Source organism: Homo sapiens, chromosome 3, assembly GCF_000001405.40.
Source record: "Homo sapiens chromosome 3, GRCh38.p14 Primary Assembly".
NCBI classification, from domain to species: domain Eukaryota; kingdom Metazoa; phylum Chordata; class Mammalia; order Primates; family Hominidae; genus Homo; species Homo sapiens.
In genome coordinates this window covers 75758524-75780564 of record NC_000003.12, presented here as the reverse complement: position 1 = coordinate 75780564, position 22041 = coordinate 75758524, and the positions used below count along the sequence as shown (strand labels likewise).

Below are 22041 nucleotides of genomic sequence, written 5' to 3'. Positions count from 1 at the left end.
CCGAGCGTGGTGGTGGGCACCTGTAGTCCCAGCTACTTGGGAGGCTGAGGCAGAATGGCCTGAACCCGGGAGGCGGAACTTGCAATGAGCCAAGATCTTGCCACTGCACTCCACTCTGGGGGACAGAGCAAGACTCTATCTCAGAAAAAAAATAATTCCTCCTTTTTAGTCAAGTTCTCACTTAGTTGAGAGTGTGACCAAAATGTAGGGCCTTAGCACTACTGTTAGTTACCATTGTTTTAGGTTTCCGGTTTAGCACATCACTCCCATTGTTTTGGGTTCCAGTTTTAGCACGTGACTCCCATTTTTTGGGTTTCTGGGTTTAGCACGTCACTCCCATTGTTTTGGGTTCCGGTTTTAGCACGTCACTCCCATTGTTTTGGGTTCCAGTTTTAGCACGTCAGCTCCATTGTTTTGGGTTCCAGTTTTAGCACGTCACTCCCATTGTTTTGGGTTTCTGGCTTAGCACGTCACTCCCATTGTTTTGGGTTTCTGGCTTAGCACGTCACTCCCATTGCTTTGGGTTCTGGTTTAGCACGTCTCTCCCATTGTTTTGGGTTCTGGTTTTAGCAAGTCACTCCCATTGTTTTGGGTTCCTGTTTAGCACATCTCTCCCATTGTTTTGGGTTCCAGTTTTAGCACATCACTCCCGTTGTTTTGGGTTTCTGGTTTAGCAGGACACTCCCATTGTTTTGGGTTCCGGTTTTAGCACATCACTCCCATTGTTTTGGGTTTCTGGTTTAGCACGACACTCCCATGGTTTTGGGTTCCGGTTTTAGCACATCACTCCCATTGTTTTGGGTTTCTGGTTTAGCACGACACTCCCATGGTTTTGGGTTCCGGTTTTAGCACGTCACTCCCATTGCTTTGGATCCTGGTTTAGCACGACTCTCCCATTGTTTTGGGTTCTGGTTTTAGCACGTCACTCCCATTGTTTTGGGTTCCTGTTTAGCACATCTCTCCCAGTGTTTTGGGTTGCGGTTTTAGCACGTCACTCCCGTTGTTTTGGGTTTCTGGTTTAGCAGGACACTCCCATTGTTTTGGGTTCTGGTTTTTGCACGTCACTCCCATTGTTTTGGGTTTCTAGTTTAGCACATCACTCCCTTTGTTTTGGGTTCCGGTTTTAGCACATCACTCCCATTGTTTTGGGTTCCGGTTTTAGCACATCACTCCCATTGTTTTGGGTTTCTGGTTTAGCACATCACTCCCATTGTTTTGGGTTCCAGTTTTAGCACGTCACTCCCATTGTTTTAGGTTTCTGGTTTTAGCAGATCACTCCCATTGTTTTGGGTTCCGGTTTTAGCACATCACTCCCATTATTTTGGGTTTCTGGTTTTAGCAGATCACTCCCATTGTTTTGGGTTCCAGTTTTAGCACATCACTCCCATTGTTTTGGGTTCCGGTTTTCGCACGTCACTCCCATTGTTTTGTGTTCTGGTTTTAGCACGTCAATCCCATTGTTTTGGGTTCCTAGTTTAGCAGGTCACTCCCATTGTTTTGGGTTCCGGTTTTTGCGCATCACTCCCATTGTTTTGGGTTCCGGTTTTAGCACCTCACTCCCATTGTTTTGGGTTCCGGTTTTAGCACAGCACTCCCATTGTTTTGGGTTCCGGTTTTAGCACCTCACTCCCATTGTTTTGGGTTCCGGTTTTAGCACAGCACTCCCATTGTTTTGGGTTCCGGTTTTTGCGCATCACTCCCATTGTTTTGGGTTCCGGTTTTAGCACCTCACTCCCATTATTTTGGGTTCCGGTTTTAGCATATCACTCCCATTGTTTTGGGTTTCTGGTTTAGCATGACACTCCCATTGTTTTGGTTTACGGGTTTTGCACATCACTCACATTGTTTTGGGTTCCGGTTTTAGCACGTCACTCCCATTGTTTTGGGTTTTTGGTTTAGCACGTCACTCCCATTGTTTTGGGTTCTGGTTTTAGCAAGTCACTCCCATTGTTTTTGGTTTCTGGTTTTGGCAGGTCACTCCCATTGTTTTGTTTTCCGGTTTTAGCATGTCACTCCCACTGTTTTGGGTTTCTGGTTTAGCACGTCACTGCCATTGTTTTGCGTTCCGGTTTTAGCATGTCACTCCCACTGTTTTGGGTTTCTGGTCTAGCACATCACTCCCATTGTTTTGGGTTCCGGTTTTAGCACATCACTCCCATTGTTTTGGGTTCCGGTTTTAGCAGATCACTCCCATTGTTTTGGGTTTCTGGTTTAGCACGTCACTCCCATTGTTTTGGGTTCCGGTTTTAGCAGATCACTCCCATTGTTTTGGGTTCCAGTTTTAGCATGTCACTCCCATTGTTTTGGGTTCCGGTTTTAGCACGTCAGCTCCATTGTTTTGGGTTCCAGTTTTAGCACGTCACTCCCATTGTTTTGGGTTTCTAGTTTAGCAGGTCACTCCCATTGTTTTGGGTTCTGGTTTTTGCACATCAGTCACATTGTTTTGGGTTCCGGTTTTAGCACGTCACTCCCATTGTTTTGGGTATCTGGTTTAGCAGGACACTCCCATTGTTTTGGGTTCTGGTTTTAGCACATCACTCCCATTGTTTTTGGTTTCCGGTTTTAGCAAGTCACTCCCATTTTTTTTGGTTTCCGGTTTTAGCACGTCACTCCCATTGTTTTGGTTTCCAGTTTTAGCATGTCACTCGCATTGTTTTGGGTTCCGTTTTAACACGTCACTCCCATTGTTTTGGGTTCCAGTTTTAGCACATCACTCCCATTGTTTTGGGTTTCTGGTTTAGCATGACACTCCCATTGTTTTGGGTTCCGGTTTTAGCATGTCACTCCCATTGTTTTGGGTTCCGGTTTTAGCACGTCACTCCCATTGTTTTGGGTTTCTGGTTTAGCACGTCACTCCCATTATTTTGGGTTCTGGTTTTTGCAAGTCACTCCCATTGTTTTGGGTTCCGGTTTTAGCATATCACTCCCATTTTTTTGGGTTCCGGTTTTAGCAAATCACTCCCATTGTTTTGGGTTTCTAGTTTAGCAGATTACTCCCATTGTTTTGGGTTCAGGTTTTAGCCCATCACTCCCATTGTTTTGGGTTCCAGTTTTAGCACATCACTCCCATTGTTTTGGGTTCCAGTTTTAGCACATCACTCCCATTGTTTTGGGTTTCTGGTTTAGTAGGTCACTCCCATTGTTTTGGGTTCCGGTTTTAGCACATCACTCCCATTGTTTTTTGTTTCTGGTTTTAGCACGTCACTCCCATTTGTTTTTGGTTTCTGGTTTTAGCACGTCACTGCCATTGTTTTGGGTTCCGGTTTTAGCATGTCACTCCCATTGTTTTGGGTTTTTGGTTTAGCACGTCACTCCCATTGTTTTGGGTTTCTGGTTTAGCATGTCACTCCCATTGTTTTGGGTTTCCGGTTTAGCATGTCACTCATAGGTTACAGTGTCCTTATAGTTGCACATTTTTTCTTAATTTCTTGTCATTCCAGTTGAAGAGATACCATTTGACATTTTAGAGATGGCTGCATGCAAACTCTTAAAACATTTGAGGAAGTACAGTGCACCAGGGAGACTCTTACGACTACTGGGATATCACCAAGAATTTGGCATATGCTCCTTACTCAGGGTCCCTGTAAATCAAACCACCTAAAATCAAATAGATTAAAGAATGAGTTAGATAAAGAGTTTACTTGCTTAACTAAGTCGGTTTTTTGTTAATTCCCTACAACCAAATCTTTATAATACCCCATGTTTTCTCCATATGCCATAAGTGTTAGCAGCTGCACAGATACTTAAGAGTCTCATGATAGTAGAGAAGCCTCGAACTGTGATCTTGGTAAAAGCTGTTCACATTAAGGATGCCATCTTCTTCTGGGGGAGAAACTGTCCTTGTTAGCTTTACCTTAAGGGTTCCAATGGGTATACGGTTCTGAGTGTGGAGGGACCCTTCTGAATTGTGAGACTATGAACCCAAAGTTTATGGTTTTAAAGTTTTGCTGTCATGTGGATGGCAAGGGCAGTCCTTCTTTGATGTTCTCAGAAGATCCAGTCATCAGATTCTAGATTGTGAAGGGGTTCGCTGTCCTCAGTGAACCATAAAAGGCTTTCTTTAGCTGGTGAAAATACACTTCAGCATAATAATCTACTGTTTTAACATCAACCCTCTTGCATGGAAGAGCTTTTATACAATCAGAAAACATGCACTGAAAATGAAAACTGAATGAAATCCCTTTATAAAATGTTTAAATGGCCCATCAGGTAACCAAATGTACCTGAAGTTTTGATTGTTTTCCTAGGAATATAGGTTTGACAAACCAAACATTGGTTATAAACTATTTTAGCAATTTAGAAATCACCACACCAATATATTTAATTTGGATCATTTTCTCTTTTCCATGATGAGTTATGGAATGCAAAACTTTTAATAACAGAAGCTTTAAGGACTTAAGAAGGACAAGGCGGCCATCCTGGTTCTTCATAAGTCCGTGCTTAATTAACATTAGACTTACATCCTCTTGAATACCAGCTGTTTCTCCAAATTAGGTGCATGGCACTGGTAACTGAAGAGTTATAGGTAATTTGACTTAGACCATGGAGTTTATTTAAATTATATGTCTAAACAATTTCAGTATTGGTGATTTAGCATGCAAATCTGGCAAAATATTTCCTTGGTATTCAATTTTTGTTTTACTTGGGTTAGCAGTTTTATAAACCAGTTGGTCTTTTTATTAAACTTTTGGGAATTTTTTTTTTTTTTTTTTTGAGACAGAGTCTCACTCTGTTACCTAGGCTGTAGTGCAGTGGCACGATCTTGGCTCACTGCAACCTCTGCCTCCTGCGTTCAAGCGATTCTCCTCCTCAGCCTCCCGAGTAGCTGGGATTACAGGCGCACACCACCACACCCGGCTAATTTTTGTATTTTTAGTAGAGGCGGGGTTTCACCATTGGCCAGGCTGGTCTCAAACTCCTGACCTGAAGTGATCCACTGGCCTCAGCCTCCCAAAGTGCTGGGATTGCAGACGTGAGCCACTGTGCCCAGCATAACTTTTGGGAATTCTTAACCAGTCCAATTCTTGGGGAATCGGGGAACTTATGGGGAATATTTACCCATGATATTCAAGTTATTAGAAACCTGTGCTCACGAGTGTTTTTCAGGGTCCTTTTCATTCTTTCATGAATCTTCTAAGAGACACCATATTCTAGAATTTTGCATGCTTGTGAAGTTTTTAGAAACTGCATCACCATTAAGCAATTAACTGTGGAAATGACTTTAAATAGTTATAGTTAAAGACAATTGACAAGGAAATTTGGTTATTTGTGTGGTCTACAATAACTTAATAACCATAATTAGGGTGGATGTGGTGGCTCATGCCTGTAATCCCAGCTGTTTGGGAGGCCAAGGTAGGTGGATCACCTGAGGTCAGGAGTTTGAGACCAGCCTGGCCAACATGGTAAAATCCTGTCCCTATTAAAAATAAAAAAAAATTAGCCTGGTGTGGTGGCAGGTGTCTGTAATCCCAGCTACTTGTGAGGCTGAGGCAGGAGAATCGCTTGAACCCAGGAGGTGGAGGCTTCAGTGAGCCTCAATCACACCATTGCACTCCAGCCTGGGTGACAAGAGCGAAACTCTGTCTCAAAACAAAACAGGTAATTATGATAGATAGCATATAGACATATTAGAATTTTAGAAATCCTGGCCAGGTGCAGTGGCTCACGCCTGTAATCCCAGCACTTTGGGAGGCCGAGATGGACGGATCACGAGGTCAGGAGATCAAGACCATCCTGGCTAACACGGCGAAACCCCGTCTCTACTAAAAATACAAAAATTAGCCAGGCGTGGTGGTGGGCACCTGTAGTCCCAGCTACTTGGGAGGCTGAGGCAGGAAAATGGTGTGAACCCGGGAGGCGGAGCTTGCAGTGAGCCGAGATCGCACCACTGTACTCCAGCCTGGGTGACAGAGCAAGACTCTGTCTCAGAAAAAAAAAAAAAAAAAAAAAAAAAACCACAAGAATTTTAGAAATTCTATACAATTTTAGAATGGATTGATGACATACACTAAATATAACCTGAAGAAGGTTCAACATTATTTTTTATTTTGACAGTGCTTCCCACGTGACTTAACATGTCAAATAGTCCTGTTTACCTCTCTTTTGGGTGTTTCAGGGGCCTCTGTAGCATCCCAAAGTTAGAGGTCAGAGAAGACAGTTTTGAAGTTGAAATTTGATTTTGGGAAGCCTATTAAATATATTAAAGGTTTAAACACTTGATGTTATGAAATAGAATTCCAGGTCACCGTAAGTCATTCATTTACCTAAAATCATGACTTAAAAAATTTTTAAAGGGCAAAAATCTTTACTCATTGATAGAGGGAAGACTTACCTTCCCAAACAATCTGCCTCTTGTTTTTCCTTTTTTTTTTTTTTGGTAGTTTATTTACAAGGGAAACAAATTTTTCATTATTTTTTAATATTACCTGAAAATCTTCTTTAAAGAGAGAAAGCCAAATGTCACCCAATTTTTCATAAAACCTTATAGACAAATCTATTATTATTATTTTTTTTTGAGATGGATTTTCCCTCTTGTTGCCCAGGCTGGAGTGCAATGGTGTGATCTTGGTTCACTGCAACCCCCTGCCTCCTGGGTTCAAGAGATTCTCCTGCCCCAGCCTCCTGAGTAGCTGGGATTAGAGGCATGCACCACCATGCCCAGCTAATTTTGTGTTTTTAGTAGAGATGGGGTTTTTCCTTGTTGGTCAGGCTGGCCCTGAACTCCTGACCTCAGGTGATCCACCTGCCTCAGCCTCCCCAAGTGTTGGGATTACAGGTGTAAGCCACTGCGCCTGGCCATTTTTTTTTGTTAAAGATAGCGTCTTGCTCTGTCGCCCTCCTCACCACATTATAGCTCTGGGGGCCAAGCTGCATCACAATGGAAAATCATGGAACCACAGGAAGAATCCACTCAGCTTTGCAAGATGCTGTTCAAGGGGTTGCTTGGAGTAACCAAATTAACATTTTTCATTCTGTCCAGAGCAAAATACATGTGACAAAACAGATATGAGCCACTTTGCTTGGCACCCAGTATCAAACTGGTAAGACTCAAACTTGCTCCCAGATGGGCCGTGCCATCTCTAAATCTTTTTAGAAGCTTCTGCATATTAATAGGCATCCCTAGATGAGACTAATTTGGGAGCCCTCATTTTTAAATGCACTTCAGGGCATTATTCATTTGGAATGTTCCACTGTAAGTTATCTTTAGTAAGATTTTGCCGTTTCTGTAAGACTTTGCTGCTTCCCAGGCCTAACGTATTAGCCAGAAGGAACTTAGTTTTCCAGAAATTAAGGATCCTATTTTTACCTAAAATATTGGCTTTACTCCTAGGTTCCCTTGATTAACTTAGCCAATGATTTTTTTTTTCCTACCTAAGCATGCGAGAAAAATGAAACAATGGGGTAGAACACAAAAATCCCTGTGAATTTTCAAAAGCCAAATTTTACAACCGTTCCAATATTATCATTTACTCCACTTTCCTTCTGACCCAATCAGATGTAGGAGGCCTCTAACTGGAACTGGATTCAAGCCAGTTAACTACTGGATCAAATCTGATCCTGGACCCAGTCCCGTTTCTGTTATAACTTCTAAAGCCTATTTGGAACAGAAATTTGCTCAAAGAAACTCAGCTCAAAACACAAATCCATGGAGGTCTGAAATCCGAGAGAGAATTTACCACAATCCCCAGCTGCTCTGAGAGGTCAAAGGGCACAAGTGTTACTGAATCCTGGGGTGTCACTTTTCTGCCTGAAACCTCTGGCTGGTGCCGCCTTTACCTGTGTTTTGCTCAGGCCCACTGGGTTCGTTCTGTCCACTCGGCTCATGCTAGTTGTCTGGATCCCACGCCTGCCAAGGGCGAGCTGGGTACAGAGCAGTGAGGGGTGTGTGAGCAAGCGAGCATGGGATCTGGCCACTGCACACAGCCAAGCATGCCAGCTGTGGTGGGGTGGGCAGCTCCAGGCACTGGCACAGGTGCCAGCTTCCTGTGAGGCTGCAGCTGGACCAGGCTGACTGCAGACAGCTTCCACTGTGGGTATCAGGGAATGCAGTGGTGCCCAGAAGCTTGGAGATGCAGGAACTGCAGAGCCCCAAAGAAGGTGTCATAGCCCTGGCTTGGGGAGCTCCTAAGTCTGGGTTCCCTGAAGGGCCACAGCTCTTCTCTCCTTCTTGCCTGCAATTTGGCAAGCAAGGGGCACGTTTCAGCCCTGTTTATGTTACACCTCTTTCAGCGCTGCTGGTTGGCAGGTCCCGAGTTCTTCTCCTGCATCCAGGAAGAATGAGGTACGTGGGCAAGTAGAAGGTGACAAGGTGAAGAGGTGCTTTATTGAGCAACAGTACAGCTCAGAGGAGACCTGCAGGGGGTAGCTCCTTTCTGCAGTCAGGTCATCCCAATGTCTGTTCAGCTCTCAGCAGCTGAGAGGAGACCCATGGTGGGTAGCTGTGCCCACAGTGCCCAGGCTGTTTGAGCTGAGGAGTGCCTGCAGGCCAGTGCTGAGCCATCCTTAGCCCCACCTCAACCTCCCTCCTGTGCTCGTCAGTGCCCAAAGTCTGGAGGGGGGCGAGGTGACAGGGGGCTGGCATGTCAGCACTGCCCTGAGCTTGCACACACCGGGCCGGGTTGCGACTGTGCCTGGGTTTGGCCTCAACTTGGATCCAAATTTGGAGTGGGCTCTGGGAGCAGAGAGACACCAGGTGGCAGGACCAGGTATGACTGAGCCTGCAGGGGCAGGGGGGCTTGCTGGGCCTCTGAGAGTGCAGAGATGCCCGGGTCTGCAGTCATGGCTGGATGGCTGCAGCTGTGCCTGGGAGGGTGGGGCTCCTGCCTGCCAATTTAGAAGGGGCAGGGCTCCCACCCGTTCCTGGCTCCCACCAGCTTCGAGGAGCGCACAGCCCCAGCCACTCCTCCCCACTGCAGCCAGTGTCTCCGTAGCGACTGCTCCACTTGGGCGCCTGCTGACATCACAAAGGGGTCCTTGCAGGTGCCTTGCTTGTACCTCAGCACTCCTGGGGGTCATTAGAAGCCCTAGCAACCCTGCTCACCACACTATCGCTCCGGAGGCCCTAGCAGTCCTGCTCTGGCAGATCCCACTTCTGACACCAACTATTAAAAGAAAATCTTCAGCTGAATTAAATTTAAAGGAGCTTAATTGAGCAATGAATGATTCAGGAGTCAGGCAGCCCCCAGAATCACAGCAGATTCAGTGAGACTCCAGCACAGCTACATGGTGGAAGATTTATAGACAATAAAGGGAATGTGATGTACAGAAATCTGAAGTGAGGAGTGAGGTCCAGAAGCAACTGGGTCCATTACAGTTCTCAGCAGTGAGGTCCAGAAACAACTGGACTGGTTACAGTGCTTAGCATTTGCCTTATTTGAACACAGCTGAACACTCAGCAGTGTGTGAGTGGCAGAAGTTTGGCTGTTGGGATTGGCCAGGACTCAGCTGTTGTTACAGGCACATACTCTTAAGTTAGGTTTTCAGTCTTTCTACCTATTAAGTTAGGTTGCAGTTTGTCCACAGGGACTCAAATCTAGAATTACAGAGTCCTTCCCAGGCCATATTTAGTTCACTGTGACAGTTCCTATTATGACCTCACTGACAGTTCTTTTTCTCTGAATTCTCCTTTCTTCTCAACAGCTTATCCAAATGTTCTGTTGGTCCCTGTTCATCCCGCCCTGCAGTTCTCCTTGACTGATTCAGCCCTTTGTGGTTTGCAGTCCTGTTTCTCTACAGCTTAGACCTCTTTAGTCTTTCCATCATAGGTTTAACTCTCTGTTGAATGCTTCTTTGTTGCTATCTAAAAGTTACCTTAAGCTCAAAAAATTCAAAGTGAAAGCCACATCGTCCTCTCTTCCCTTATGTGTATGGTATTACTACCATGCAGCCAGTGACCCAAAATGGGATTTCTTCTGGGCTTTTCTTGCTTAGATTCAGGCTCATCTGGTGTCAAGCCCTGTTACTTTTGTTTGGTTGTTCTTTTATTTTCAATTTTTTTTTCTTTTGAGACAGAGTTTCGCTCTTGTTGCCCATGCTGGAGTGCAGTGGTGCAATCTTGGCTCACCGCAGCCTCCACCTCCCAGGTTCAAGCAATTCTCCTGCCTCAGTCTCCTGAGTAGCTGGTATTACAGGCATGTGCCACCACGCCCAGCTAATTTTGTATTTTTAGTAGAGATGGGGTTTCTCTGTTTTGATCAGGGTGGTCTCGAACTCCCGACCTCAGGTGATCTGCCCGCCTCGGCCTCCCAAAGTGCTGGGATTGCAGGCGTGAGCCACCGTGCCCGGCCTGCTTCTTGTTTTCATTTCATCCTGATTTCTGAATACAGGAGAAGAGCTGAGTTGGTGTTCACTAACAAGCACAGAAGCTTTGTTACATTTACAGTGTCATTCTTGGCAAAACCTGAAGGGGGTGTTTGTGGGGTGGTGAGGTTCAGTCCCCTGTGACCTGTGCATCTGGCCAGCACTGTGATGACATCCTTAGGAATCCATGGGGAGAGAGAAAGCATTCAGGAGTTAGTGGGACACGTTTGACAAGGGCCAATAAAGAAATATGCAAAGACAAAAACCAAGAAGCACATTGTCATATTTTCTACCTCTTGTTTATATAAATTTATGTCAATGATTCTAGCTTATGTTAATATGCAATGTATACAATATGCTAACATATACAATATATGTTTATAGTTTAAACATTTCTGTCATGTTTTCAGATTCTTTAAAGGTTATATTACACTTCCTATTTCAGATAGCCGCTTAAAATGAGTAAGGAAAAACGGATGTGTGCATCAGTTCTAAGTGTTTATGGACTAAAACTAGTTGATTTCTTGGTTAAGAACAAAAAGTGACAACCTAATTAACTGAAAATTTTAAGTAGGCAATTGTAGTTTTAGCTTTAACGTAAAATATTAACTATGCTCCATTCTTGCATTTTTAACCTAATACTCAATATAAATCTCCACATGCCATGTTTCAGATCAAGGTTCTACTTGTGATCTCTCATGAGTTTTTCAACGTTTTAATTATCTGTGATGTAACAACATACCAGTAACCTTGCTGGCTTAAACCAGGAATTTATCCTTTTACATATCACAATTTTCTGGGTCAAGACACTGGACAGGGTGGTGTGGGTTGGCTGCTTCATGATGTCTCTGGTCTCATCTGGAAGGACTCTAGTGGCTGGGGACGTGGAGCAGGCACCCAGAAGGACTCTAGTGGCTGGGGACGTGGAGTAGGCACCCAGCCCTCTCTTTGTGGCCAGCACAGACTTCCTCCCAGTCTGGCATCGTCAGGTAGTCAGGTTTGTCTGGCTTCTCCCAGGGTGTGTGTCCAAGAGGCCCAGGCAGAAGCTGTAAGGCCTCTCATGATCGCCCCTCAGAAGTCCCAGAGCATTTCTCCTGTCACACTGTCCAGTCATACTCATCACTGAGACCAGCCACGATTCAAGGGGGGAAGGTGATTAGATTCCCCCTTTTGATGAGAAGCATAGTAGGAACCTGCAGCAGTCTAATAAACCACAGCTTGTCCTCTGGCCACAAACTATTAACATTTCTCCCACATGCAAATTATGCTTTGCCCCTCTCAAGAGCCCCAGAATGGTTTTCCTTATGGCACTGGCTGGAGCCCATCTGAATCCTGAATCAGGTTGTGATTGTGGTGGCCTGTCATCTTCACCCACACACTCAGCCACAGTGAGGACTGAATCAGGTTGTGGTGGCCTGTCATCTGTCCCCCCACACACTCAGTGACAGAACTTAATGAGGTTGTGGTGGCCTGTCATCTGTCCCCCCACACACTCAGCCACAGTGAGGACTGAATCAGGTTGTGGTGGCCTGTCATCTACCCCCCACACACTCAGCCGCAGTGAGGACTGAATGAGGGTGTGGTGGCCTGTCATCTGCCCCCCGACACACTCAGCTGCAGTGAGGACTGAATCAGGTTGTGGTGGGCTGTCATCTACCCCCCTCCCACACTCAGCCGCAGTGAGGACTGAATGAGGTTGTGGTGGTCTGTCATCTACCCCCCCACACACTCAGCCGCAGTGAGGACTGAATGAGGTTGTGGTGGCCTGTCATCTGCCCCCGCACACACTCAACCACAGTGAGAACTGAATGAGGTTGTGGTGGCCTGTCATCTGCCCCCCGACACACTCAGCCTCAGTGAGGACTGAATCAGGTTGTGGTGGGCTGTCATCTACCCCCCCCCCCCACACTCAGCCACAGTGAGGACTGAATCAGGTTGTGGTGGCCTGTCATCTGCCCCCCGACACACTCAGCCACAGTGAGGACTGAATCAGGTTGTGGTGGCCTGTCATCTGCACCCACACACTCAGCCGCAGTGAGGGGACTGGTGTGAAAACAGTCAGCATTTCTCTTTAGATGGGGTTGGTGGAAGGCAGGAGGTAGGTGCTGCCCTGCAGGCCCTGTCTAACGGTTGGTCATTCCCATGGGGCACCTGTTGCAGGTCTCTGATTAGTGCCCAGTCCTGGTCCCTGAGAATGACGCTCAGTCCTGGTCCCTGAGAATGGCGTTTGTGCCTTTTTACTCCTCCCTCTGGGCTCTTGTCATTCTCCATGTTCTTTTTCCTTCAGTGCCTGGGTTGCCGTTGACCAACTTTCTCTGCCTTTTTCTTATGGTCAATAGAGTGGCTTCTTTTTCATTTTTTTTCCTTTTGTTTTCTTTCCTTTTTTTTTTTACTTTGGCCTTTTGAGACAATAAATTATTTCTTTATATTTTCTCTAAATTCTGTCTGAAAACTGAACCTCCTTCTTTAGATCATGTCCCTCTCCTGTCATATTTATTCAGTGACAGTTAGGGGAGGCTGGTAGCACTTTCCACATTCTTCTCAGATGTCTCCTTAGGCAGATCCCTGAGATGGTGCAGTGCCCTTTCAGTTTCCGTATTGTGGCTGTAGTTTTCCCACAGTCCCTCAGCACGTAACTCCCAGGCCTTTTCTCCAGTTTCCAATGACATTTTCTCACTGTCCTTCAGGCCCTCACCAAGAGTCTTGATGCCCTTCCAGCTTGCATGAATGGTCTCCTTGAGGCCCAGTTACAGCTCAGCCTCACAGTTGTGGCACATGTTGTAGCTTCTGATTACCACAGCGGCTCATTTCCAGCTGCCATATTCTGTTCCAGTTATCTATTCTGAAGAAACCATCCCCAAAACTTGGCAGCTTAAAACAACTCATTATTACTTGTTTTTTGGCTTAGAGAGTCTTGTTGGCCAGCTCATCTCACACATAGTTGCAGCAGGGCAGCAGCCGAGCTGGATTGTTTGAAAGCACAGCGGTGTGGTGTGCAGGGTGGCTCACTAGTTGTTGGGAGTGGGTGTTGCTGGAGGCTCAGTGGGGGCTGTCAATGAGTGTAGCTAGTCGTGGACTGGCCGTATGGTTTCCATCATGGGGGTCTCAGGGAAGTGGGATTTCCTGCCTGGTGACTGGCTTTCTCCTGGATAAGTGTTCCGTTCTCTCAGCCTGGCTTCTGAAGTCCCCAAATACCACCTTTGTCACCTTCTGTTGGCCAAATAAGTCAGTAGTCTGGGCAAGGTTCAGGGGAATTGGTTCTCACAGAGAGAGGAGCAGGAAAGAAGTTGTCACCTTTAGTCTACCAGAAATGTGATTTTTATAACAAGTTTGTTCCAAATACATTCCAGTTCCCCTTGTGAATACTTTTTTTGACTCACAGGGTGTTTCAAAGTTTATTACTTGGTTTTCAGACATTTGAGGCTTTTCTGGATATCTATTTGTTGTTGGTTTCTAATTTAATTTCAAGTGTTGAGACAACATACTTTGCATACTATTTCAGGCTTGAACCTTTTCTCAATAGATGGACATACAGTCTGTCTTGGTAGTGCTCAACTGTGTGCTTCATAAATACCATTTGGGTCAGGATTTTGTCATTTAGATCTGTATTTTCCCTATTTTTTTATTTGGTTGTTCCGTCAGTTACTGAGAGAGCAGTATTAATTCACCAGCTATAATTGTGGATTGTCAACTTCCTGCTTTCGTTCTGTTGTTTTTGATTCACGTACTTTGAGGTTTTGTGTGTGTGTGTACTTTGTGTGCACTTTGAGGCACAATTTATAATTTTAATATCATCCTCTCTGATTCTTTTACTTTTATGAAAGTACCCTGTTTATTTCTGGTGATATATTTTGTTTTGAAGCCTCTTTCATCTAGTGTTAACATCTCCATTGAAGCTTTTTATGATTAGTGTCTGGATACCATCTTTTTATGATTAGTGTCTGCATAGCATATTTTTTCTCATAGTTTGTTTGTGTCTTTGTGTTTAAATTGTGTCTCTGTGGATGCCATATTGTGGGTCTTGCTTTCCTCTCAGGTCTGGCAGTCTCTGTCTTAAGTAGAGTATTTGTCCAGTTACATTGTAACTAATCATTACTAAGGTTGGATTTAGGTCTGCCATTTTTCTACTTATTTTCTATTTGTTTGTTTATTTTTTTTTAAGACAGGGTCTTGCTCTGTCACCCAGACTGTAGTGCAATGGTGCAATCTTGGCTCACTGCAACCTCTGCCTCCCAGGCCCAACCAGTCCTCACTTCAGCCCCCTGAGTAGCTGGGACTACAGGTGCATGGCACCATACCTGGCTAATTTTTATATTTTTTGTAGAGATAGGGTTTTGCCATTTTGCACAGGCTGGTCTTGAACTCCTGAGCTCAAGCAATCTACGCACCTTGGCCTCCCAAAGTGTTGGGATTACAGGCATGAGCCACCATGCCTGGCCTTCGTCTGTCTTTTGATCTTCTATATATTCTTTCCTAACTTCTTTTGGGTTAATTAAATATTTGTAAATATTCCAGTTCGGTTAATCTTTTGGCTTTTTCAAATAATTTTTTATAGGCTGGGCATGGTGGCTCATGCTCGTAATCTCAGCTCTGTGGGAAGCCAGGGGAGGTGGATTGCTTGAGCCCAGGAGGTGGAGACCAGCCTGCAACATGGCAAAACCCTGTCTACAAAAAAACCAAACCAAAAATTAGCCTGACATCGTGGTGTGCACCTGTAGTCCCAACTATTCGGGAGGCTGAGGTGGGAGGGTTGCTTGAGCCTGGGAGGTCGAGGCTGCAGTGAGCTGTGATCATGCCATTGCACTCCTGCCAGGGCAACAGAGTAAGACCCTGTATCAAAAAAGATCATTTTTTATAAATAATTTATTATTTCGAATTTTGGTGACAAACACATACCTTAAAATTTACCATCATAACCAGTTGTAAGTATACAGTTTTATAGAGTTAAGAATATTTACAGTGTTGTGTAGCAGATTTCTAGATTTTTTTTTTATCTTGGAAAGCTCTATACCCATTCAACAACTATTAATTTCCCCCTCCTTCCACCTCCTGGCAAGTACTATTCTACTTTGTGTTTCTAAAAATTTGGCTTATATACCTGGGGTTATATAATATTTGTTGTTTTGTTAAGTAGGTTTCATGTTATGTGTCAGATGTGTCAGGATTTTCTTCCTTTCTATGGCTGAATAACATTTCTTTGTACATATACACACACACACACACACACACATATACATATATATATATATATATATATATATATATATATATATATCCTTTTGTTTATCCGTCCATTCCTGGATGGACGTTTTGGTTTCTTCCACCTTGTGGCTGTGTAATGCTGCTGTGAACATAGGTGTGCACATATCTGTTTGAGGTCCTGCTACTAGTTATTCTGTCTCTCTGTAGAAGTTGGATGGCTGGATCATATGGTCATTTTATTTTTTTTTTGAGGAGCCAGTTCATATTTCCACCAACAGTGTACAAGGGTTTCAGTTTCACCTGCACTTGTTACTTTCTGTTGGGTTTGAAGTGATGTCCCATTGTGGTTTCTATTTGCATTTCTCTAATGATTAGTGATGTTACACATCTTCTCATATATCTCATGTATCTGTTGGCTATTTGTATATCATCTTTGCATCTTTGGATAAATGTTCTTTGTCCACTTTTTAATCACTTTATTTTGTTGTTGGGTTGTAGCGGGGTTTTTTGGTCATGATCATTTATCTCACAGTTCATTCTCGTTACGTTGGGCCAGGGTCATGATCATTCATTATATCACAGTTCATCCTCATTACGTTGGGCAAACAGTCATGCTGCATGGTATAGATTATGTTATTCTGTTACTTTCAGGTAGAATTGGGGTCCAGGTTCTAATTGTCTCTAAGTTTAGATTCCGAATGAGAATCAGCAGAGGTAGACCACTGCTACTGAGGCCTGGGAACTGCTGGGAAAAAGGCAGGAAACAGATACGGAACTGACCATGGAGGATTTGTGTTTCACGGCTCCCATCTGGGTACCCAAGGAACCTACATGTAGCTCGTGTGCAGAGAGCCCACATTGGCCACTCAAAAGCAATTGAGGATGGAGCAGGCTTGGGGCTGGAGCTCATTATTTGGAATAACAACCACATCTGCACAGAGAGGACCTGATAAGATGTTGTCCTTCCATCTATATCTGGGAATCCTGTGTAGGGTCTCTCTGTAATGACAGGGGCAGGGTTGGCTCCTTGGCCTCTAGTTAGCCTCACGAGTAGTCTAGTAAAGATTTTGCAAACTTGTCACCATCTGTGGACATTCTGGTCAGCTCTTGTTTTCACCCTACTGACTTCTTCAGGCACTAGGCTGTTGCTTTAGACCATTAATGGTTTTTCTTCCTCTTCAAATCAGTAATCAATAAATCCTCTTCAAATCAGTAAATTTCCACTCCTTTAGGAAACTCTGATCTTCTGGTCACTCCAAGGTTTAATTAACTGGTTTGATTGTTTTTCTGTTTTCTTGGTTTCTTTTTCCTTCTTCCTAGGTGTTTCTAGTAATTTTAGTTTGATGTCTCACTTTCTCCATTTTTTATTTCTTAGTTTTCTTCTGTGATTATTTTCACTGCAGCTGCAGGGCCTAATCCTGGGTTGGCAGAGAACTAGCACTTACTCTGCCCTAATTGGAATCCAGGAGAGATAGGAGGTGCCCCAGTGTGAAAATGTGTTTGCTCCTCTCTGCTTCTGGTAGTCTCTCTGTAGGAGTTCTTTACGTATTCTGGATGTTCACTTCTTATGAGATACATGATGTGCAGCTATAGGTTGAATGTCTCTGATCCAAAAATCTGAAATCCCAAATGCTCCAAAGTCTGAAACTTTTTGAATGCCAACATGACACTCAAAGGAAATGCTTATTGGAGCATCTCAGACTCAGGTGTTTGAATTTGAGATGCTCAACCAGTAAGAATAATGCAAATATTACAAAATCTGAAACACATCCCAAGCATTTCAAATAAGGGACGCTCAACTGGTATTTTCTTTTACTCTACAGTTTCCTTTTACCCTGTTGGTTGTGACCTTTGAGGTATAGAAACTTTTAGGTTTGATATGTTTTTGATTTTACTGCCTGAGCTTTTAATGTCATATCCTAAAAATTATTGACAAATTCATTGTCATAAAGCATTTTCCAAATTTGTTTTGCCTAGGAGTTTGATAATTCTAGTTTCACATTTAGGTTTATAATTCACTTTGAATTAATTTTAACGTGGTGTAAGGTAAGAGTCCAACTTCATTGTTTTGCATGTGGATATACAGTTTTCCCAACACCATTTGTTGAAGAAACTGTCCTTCACCATTGAGTGGTCTTGGCATCCTTGTGGAAGATCATTGGACCATATATGCCAGGATTGGTTTATGAGGTATCTGTTGTGTTGGTCCATAAGTTTCTCGTGTGTCTTTATGTCATGACTACATTTTTTTTTTGGCTTATTGCAGTTTTGTAATTGTTTTGAGACCTTTAATTTTGTTCTGTTTCAAGATTGATTTGCCTATTCATGGGCCCTGGAGATTCCATATGAGTTTTAGGATGGGTTTTTCTGTTTATCAAAAATGTCATTGGAATCCTTATAAGGATTGTATTGAATCTAGGTCACTTCGAGTAGTGTTGACATCATTCCAAGATGAAATCATCTCATCTGCAAACCCAGCTTTTCTTTTCATTGATTTGTGTTTAGTTTCTTTCGACAGTGTTTTGTAGTTTTTGGTGTTCAAATCTTTTGCCCTCTTGGTTAAGCTAATTTCTAGTTTTTAAAATGCTGTTGTAAATGTAATTCTTTTTTTTTTTTTTTTTTTGAGATGGAGTCTTGCTCTGTCTCCCAGGCTGGAGTGCAGTGGCACTGTCTCAGCTCACTGCAACCTCCACCTTCCTTATTCAAGCGATTCTCCAACCTCAGCCTCTCAAGTAGCTGGGATCACAGGTGCACGCCACCATGCCCAGCTAATTTTTTGGTATTTTTAGTAGAGACAGGGTTTCTCCATGTTGACCAGACTAGTCTTGAACTTGTGACCTCAGGTGATTTGCCTGCCTCGGCCTCCCATAGTGCTGGGATTGCAGGCATGAGCCACCACACCTGGCCAAATGTCATTCTTTTTAAAAATTTCTTTTCTTTTGTTTTCTTTTTCTTTCTTTTCTTTTTTTCTTTTCTTTCTCTCTCTTTCTTTCCTTTCTTTCTTTTTTTTGAGATGGCGTCTCACTCTGTTTCCTAGGCTGGAGCGCAGTGGCACAATCTCAGCTGACTGCAACCTCCACCTTCCAAGTTCAAGCAATTCTCCTGCCTCAGCCTCCCAAGCAGCTGGGACTACAGGTGTCTGCCACTATGCCCAGCTAATTTTTGTATTTTTAATAGAGACAGAGTTTTACTATTTATATTAGAGATGGGGTTGGCCCAGCTGGTCACGAACTCCTGACCTCAGTTGGTCCACCCGCCTTGGCCTCCCGAAGTGCTGGGATTATAAGCGTGAGCCACTGCACCTGGCCTCTGTTTTTAAAATTTTATTTGCAGATTGTTCATTGTTAGTTTACAGAAATGCAACTGACTTGTGTGTGTTACTGTATCCTGAAACTTTGTTGAATTTCATTATTCTACCAGTATTTTGTGGAATTTCAGGATTTTTACACATTACATCCTGTTGTCTGTGAACAAAATTTTATACTTCTCCCTTTCCAATTTGCATGCTTTTTATTTCTTTCTCTTGCCTAATTATTCTGAGTAGAAATTCCAGTACTGTGGTGAATAGAAGTGGCAGGAGGAGATGTTGCTATCTTGTTCCTGATCCTAGAGGAAAAGTTCTTAGTTTTTCACCATTGAGTATGATGTTAGCTGTGAGCTTTTCATGTACGATCTTTATTTACTGAGGAGTTTCCATCTATTACTAATTCTTTGAGTGTTTTTATTATGAAAGGTGTTCATCCCGCTGTGGAACCAGATAAATGTTGACCTGATAGAATGGATTGGAATGTCCCCTCCTGGTTTTTGAACATTTTTTGAATATTTTGCAGAGCATTGGCATTAATTCTTCTTGAAATGTTTGGTAAAATTCTCCAGTGAAGTTATCTGGACCTGGAATTTTCTTTTTTGGGGGGTTTTTGATTACTGGTTGAATCTTCTTACTAGTTACAGGTCTCTTTGGATTTTTTATTTCTCCATGATGCAGTATGGTGGTTTGTGTTTCTAGGAATTTATAAATTTATTCTAAGTTGCCCAGTTTTGTGGCATATGGTTTGCTCACATTAGTCTCTTGTAATCTTTTTCATTTCTGTGGCATCTGTTGTACTGTCACCTCTTTTATATATGATTTTAGTATTTGAGATTTCTCTTTTTTTCTTAATATGGCTGTGAGTTTTAAAATTTTTATTGATCTTTAAAAAAACAAACTCAGTGTTTTTTTTTCCTTTCTTTTTTCTGGTCTTATTCTGCTTATCTCTGCTCTAATCTGTTATTTTCTTCCTTTTGCTTGGTTTGTCATTAGTTTTTTTTTCCCTTCAGGTGTAATGTTAGGTTATTGATTTGAGATCTTTCTTCTTTTTAATTTAAGCACCTGCAGCTATAAGCTTCCCTTTAGCATGGGTTTGAGATCTCGCTTCTTTTCAATTTAAGCATCTGCAGCTGTAAGCTTCCCTTTAGCATGGGTTTGAGATCTTTCTTCTTTTTAATTTAAGCATCTGCAGCTGTAAGCTTCCCTTTAGCACTGCCTTTGTTGCCTCCTCCTGAGTTTGGGTATGTCATGATTTTGTTTTCATTTGCCTAAACATTTTTTTGTCCTATTGTAATATAATTGCGTTGTTTTTAATAAAGGTGATTAATGAAACACATAATGAATTGTGCTTCTGTTTTTATAATATTTTAAGCATTCTTAACTCAGAAATGTAAACTTTAGAAAAAAATTCCAGGCCAGGCACAGTGGCTCACACCTGCAATCCCAGCACTTTGGGAGGCCGAGGCGGGCGGATCATCTGAGGTCAGGAGTTGGAGACCAGCCTGGCCAACATGGTGACACCCTGTCTTTACTAAAAATAGAAAAAAAAAATATATAAAAGTTAGCTAGGTGTGGTGGCGGATGCCTGTAATCCCAGCTACCGTGGAGGCTGAGGCAGGACAATCACTTGAATCTGGGAGGCGGAGGTTGCAGTGAGCTGAGATTGCACCACTGCACTCCAGCCTGGGTGACAGAGTGAGACTCCGTCTCAAAAAAAAAGAAGAAAGAAAAAATTTCAGACATATTTGTATGTATTTCAATTTAGAAACTATGATCTCCTAAGTGTATTGACACAGCAACCTGACATAAAGATAAATAAACCTATACCAAAACGGAAACCTGCAAATACCTGTTTTTCATTAATTTTTAATTATATATATTTAAAAATTGCCGGGTACAGTGGCTTACACCTGTAATCCCAGCACTTTGGGAGGCTGAGGTGGGCAGATCACATGAGGTCAGGAGTTTGAGACCAGCCTGGCCAACATGGTGAAATCCCATCTCTATTAAAAATCAAAAAATTAGCCAGGTGTGATAGTATGCATCTGTAGTCCCAGCTACTCAGGAGCCTGAGGCGGGAGAATTGCTTGAACCTGGGAGGCAGAGGTTGCAGTGAGCCAAGATAGTGCCACTGCGCTCCTCCCTGGGTGACAGAGTGAGACTCTGTCTCAAAAAAATAAAAATTGCCTGGGCGCGGTGGCTCACACCTGTAATCGCAGCACTTTGGGAGGCTGAGGCAGGCAGATCATGTCAGGAGATCGAGACCATCCGGGCTAACACAGTGAAATGCCGTATCTACTAAAAATAGAAAAAATTAGCGGGGCGTTGTGGCGGGTGCCTGTACTTCCAGCTACTCCGGAGGTTGAGGCAGGAGAATGGTGTGAACCCGGGAGGTGGAGCTTGCAGTGAGCCGAGATCACGCCACTGCACTATGGCCTGGGCAACAGAGCAAGACTCCGTCTCAAAAAAAAAAAAAAATTAGATGACCATTTCACCTAAAATATACCCTCTTAAGTTTTTTTTTTAAGTGTACAATACAGGACGGCCATGCATCAGAGATATATGTGGGTTTGGTTCCAGACCACTGCAATAAAGTGAGTTATACAATTTCTTTTGGTTTCCCAGTGCATGTAAAAGTATGTTTATACTGTGCTGTATAAAGTGTGCAACAGCATATGTCTACAAAGTGTACACACCTTAGTTTACAAATACTTTATTGTTAACAAGTGCTAACAGTCATCTGAGCCTTCAGCAAGCTGCAATCTTTTTTTGTGTGTGTGATAGGATTTCACTCTGTGGCTCAGGCTGGAGTAATTGCAGCCTCAACCTCCTGCTCAATCAAACCCCCACCTCAGACTCCTGACTAGCTGGGACTACAGGTGCGTGCCACCATGTGCAGCTAATTTTTTTTTTTTTGTAGAGATGGTGTTTTGCCATGTTGCCTCGACGTCCTGGGCTCAAGCAATCCCCCCACCTTGGCCTCCCAAAGTGTTGGGATGACAGGGGTGAACCACTGCACCTGGCCAAGTTGCAGTCTTCTTGCTGATGGAGGGTCTTGCCTTAATGTAAGGTGGTGATTGCTGAGGGTTGGGGTAGCTGTGGCAATTTCTTAAAATAATACAACATTGAAGTTTGCTGTGTCAATTGACTCTCCCTTTCACAAAAGAATGATCTGTAGCATACGATGTTGTTTGAGAGCTTTTTACCCACAGTAGAACTTTCAAAATTGGATT

General features: G+C 43.4%; 1 protein-coding gene across 21 annotated transcripts in view, besides 2 other annotated features; it reads left to right on the top strand.

Annotated features, from left to right (window-relative positions):
* The window catches only part of ZNF717 (zinc finger protein 717), a 90849-nt gene that overhangs the window by 4985 nt on the left and 63823 nt on the right, over nt 1-22041 (top strand). The gene's annotated exons all lie outside the window — the stretch shown is intronic.
* Nucleotides 7507-8007: an enhancer, noted in NCBI's record as "H3K4me1 hESC enhancer chr3:75821709-75822209 (GRCh37/hg19 assembly coordinates)". NCBI's record gives its function as "activates a minimal SCP1, AML or CMV promoter by ChIP-STARR-seq in primed H9 embryonic stem cells {active_cell/tissue: H9 hESC(primed)}" and the evidence as "EXISTENCE:reporter gene assay evidence [ECO:0000049][PMID:30033119]".
* Nucleotides 8008-8508: an enhancer, noted in NCBI's record as "H3K4me1 hESC enhancer chr3:75821208-75821708 (GRCh37/hg19 assembly coordinates)". NCBI's record gives its function as "activates a minimal SCP1, AML or CMV promoter by ChIP-STARR-seq in primed H9 embryonic stem cells {active_cell/tissue: H9 hESC(primed)}" and the evidence as "EXISTENCE:reporter gene assay evidence [ECO:0000049][PMID:30033119]".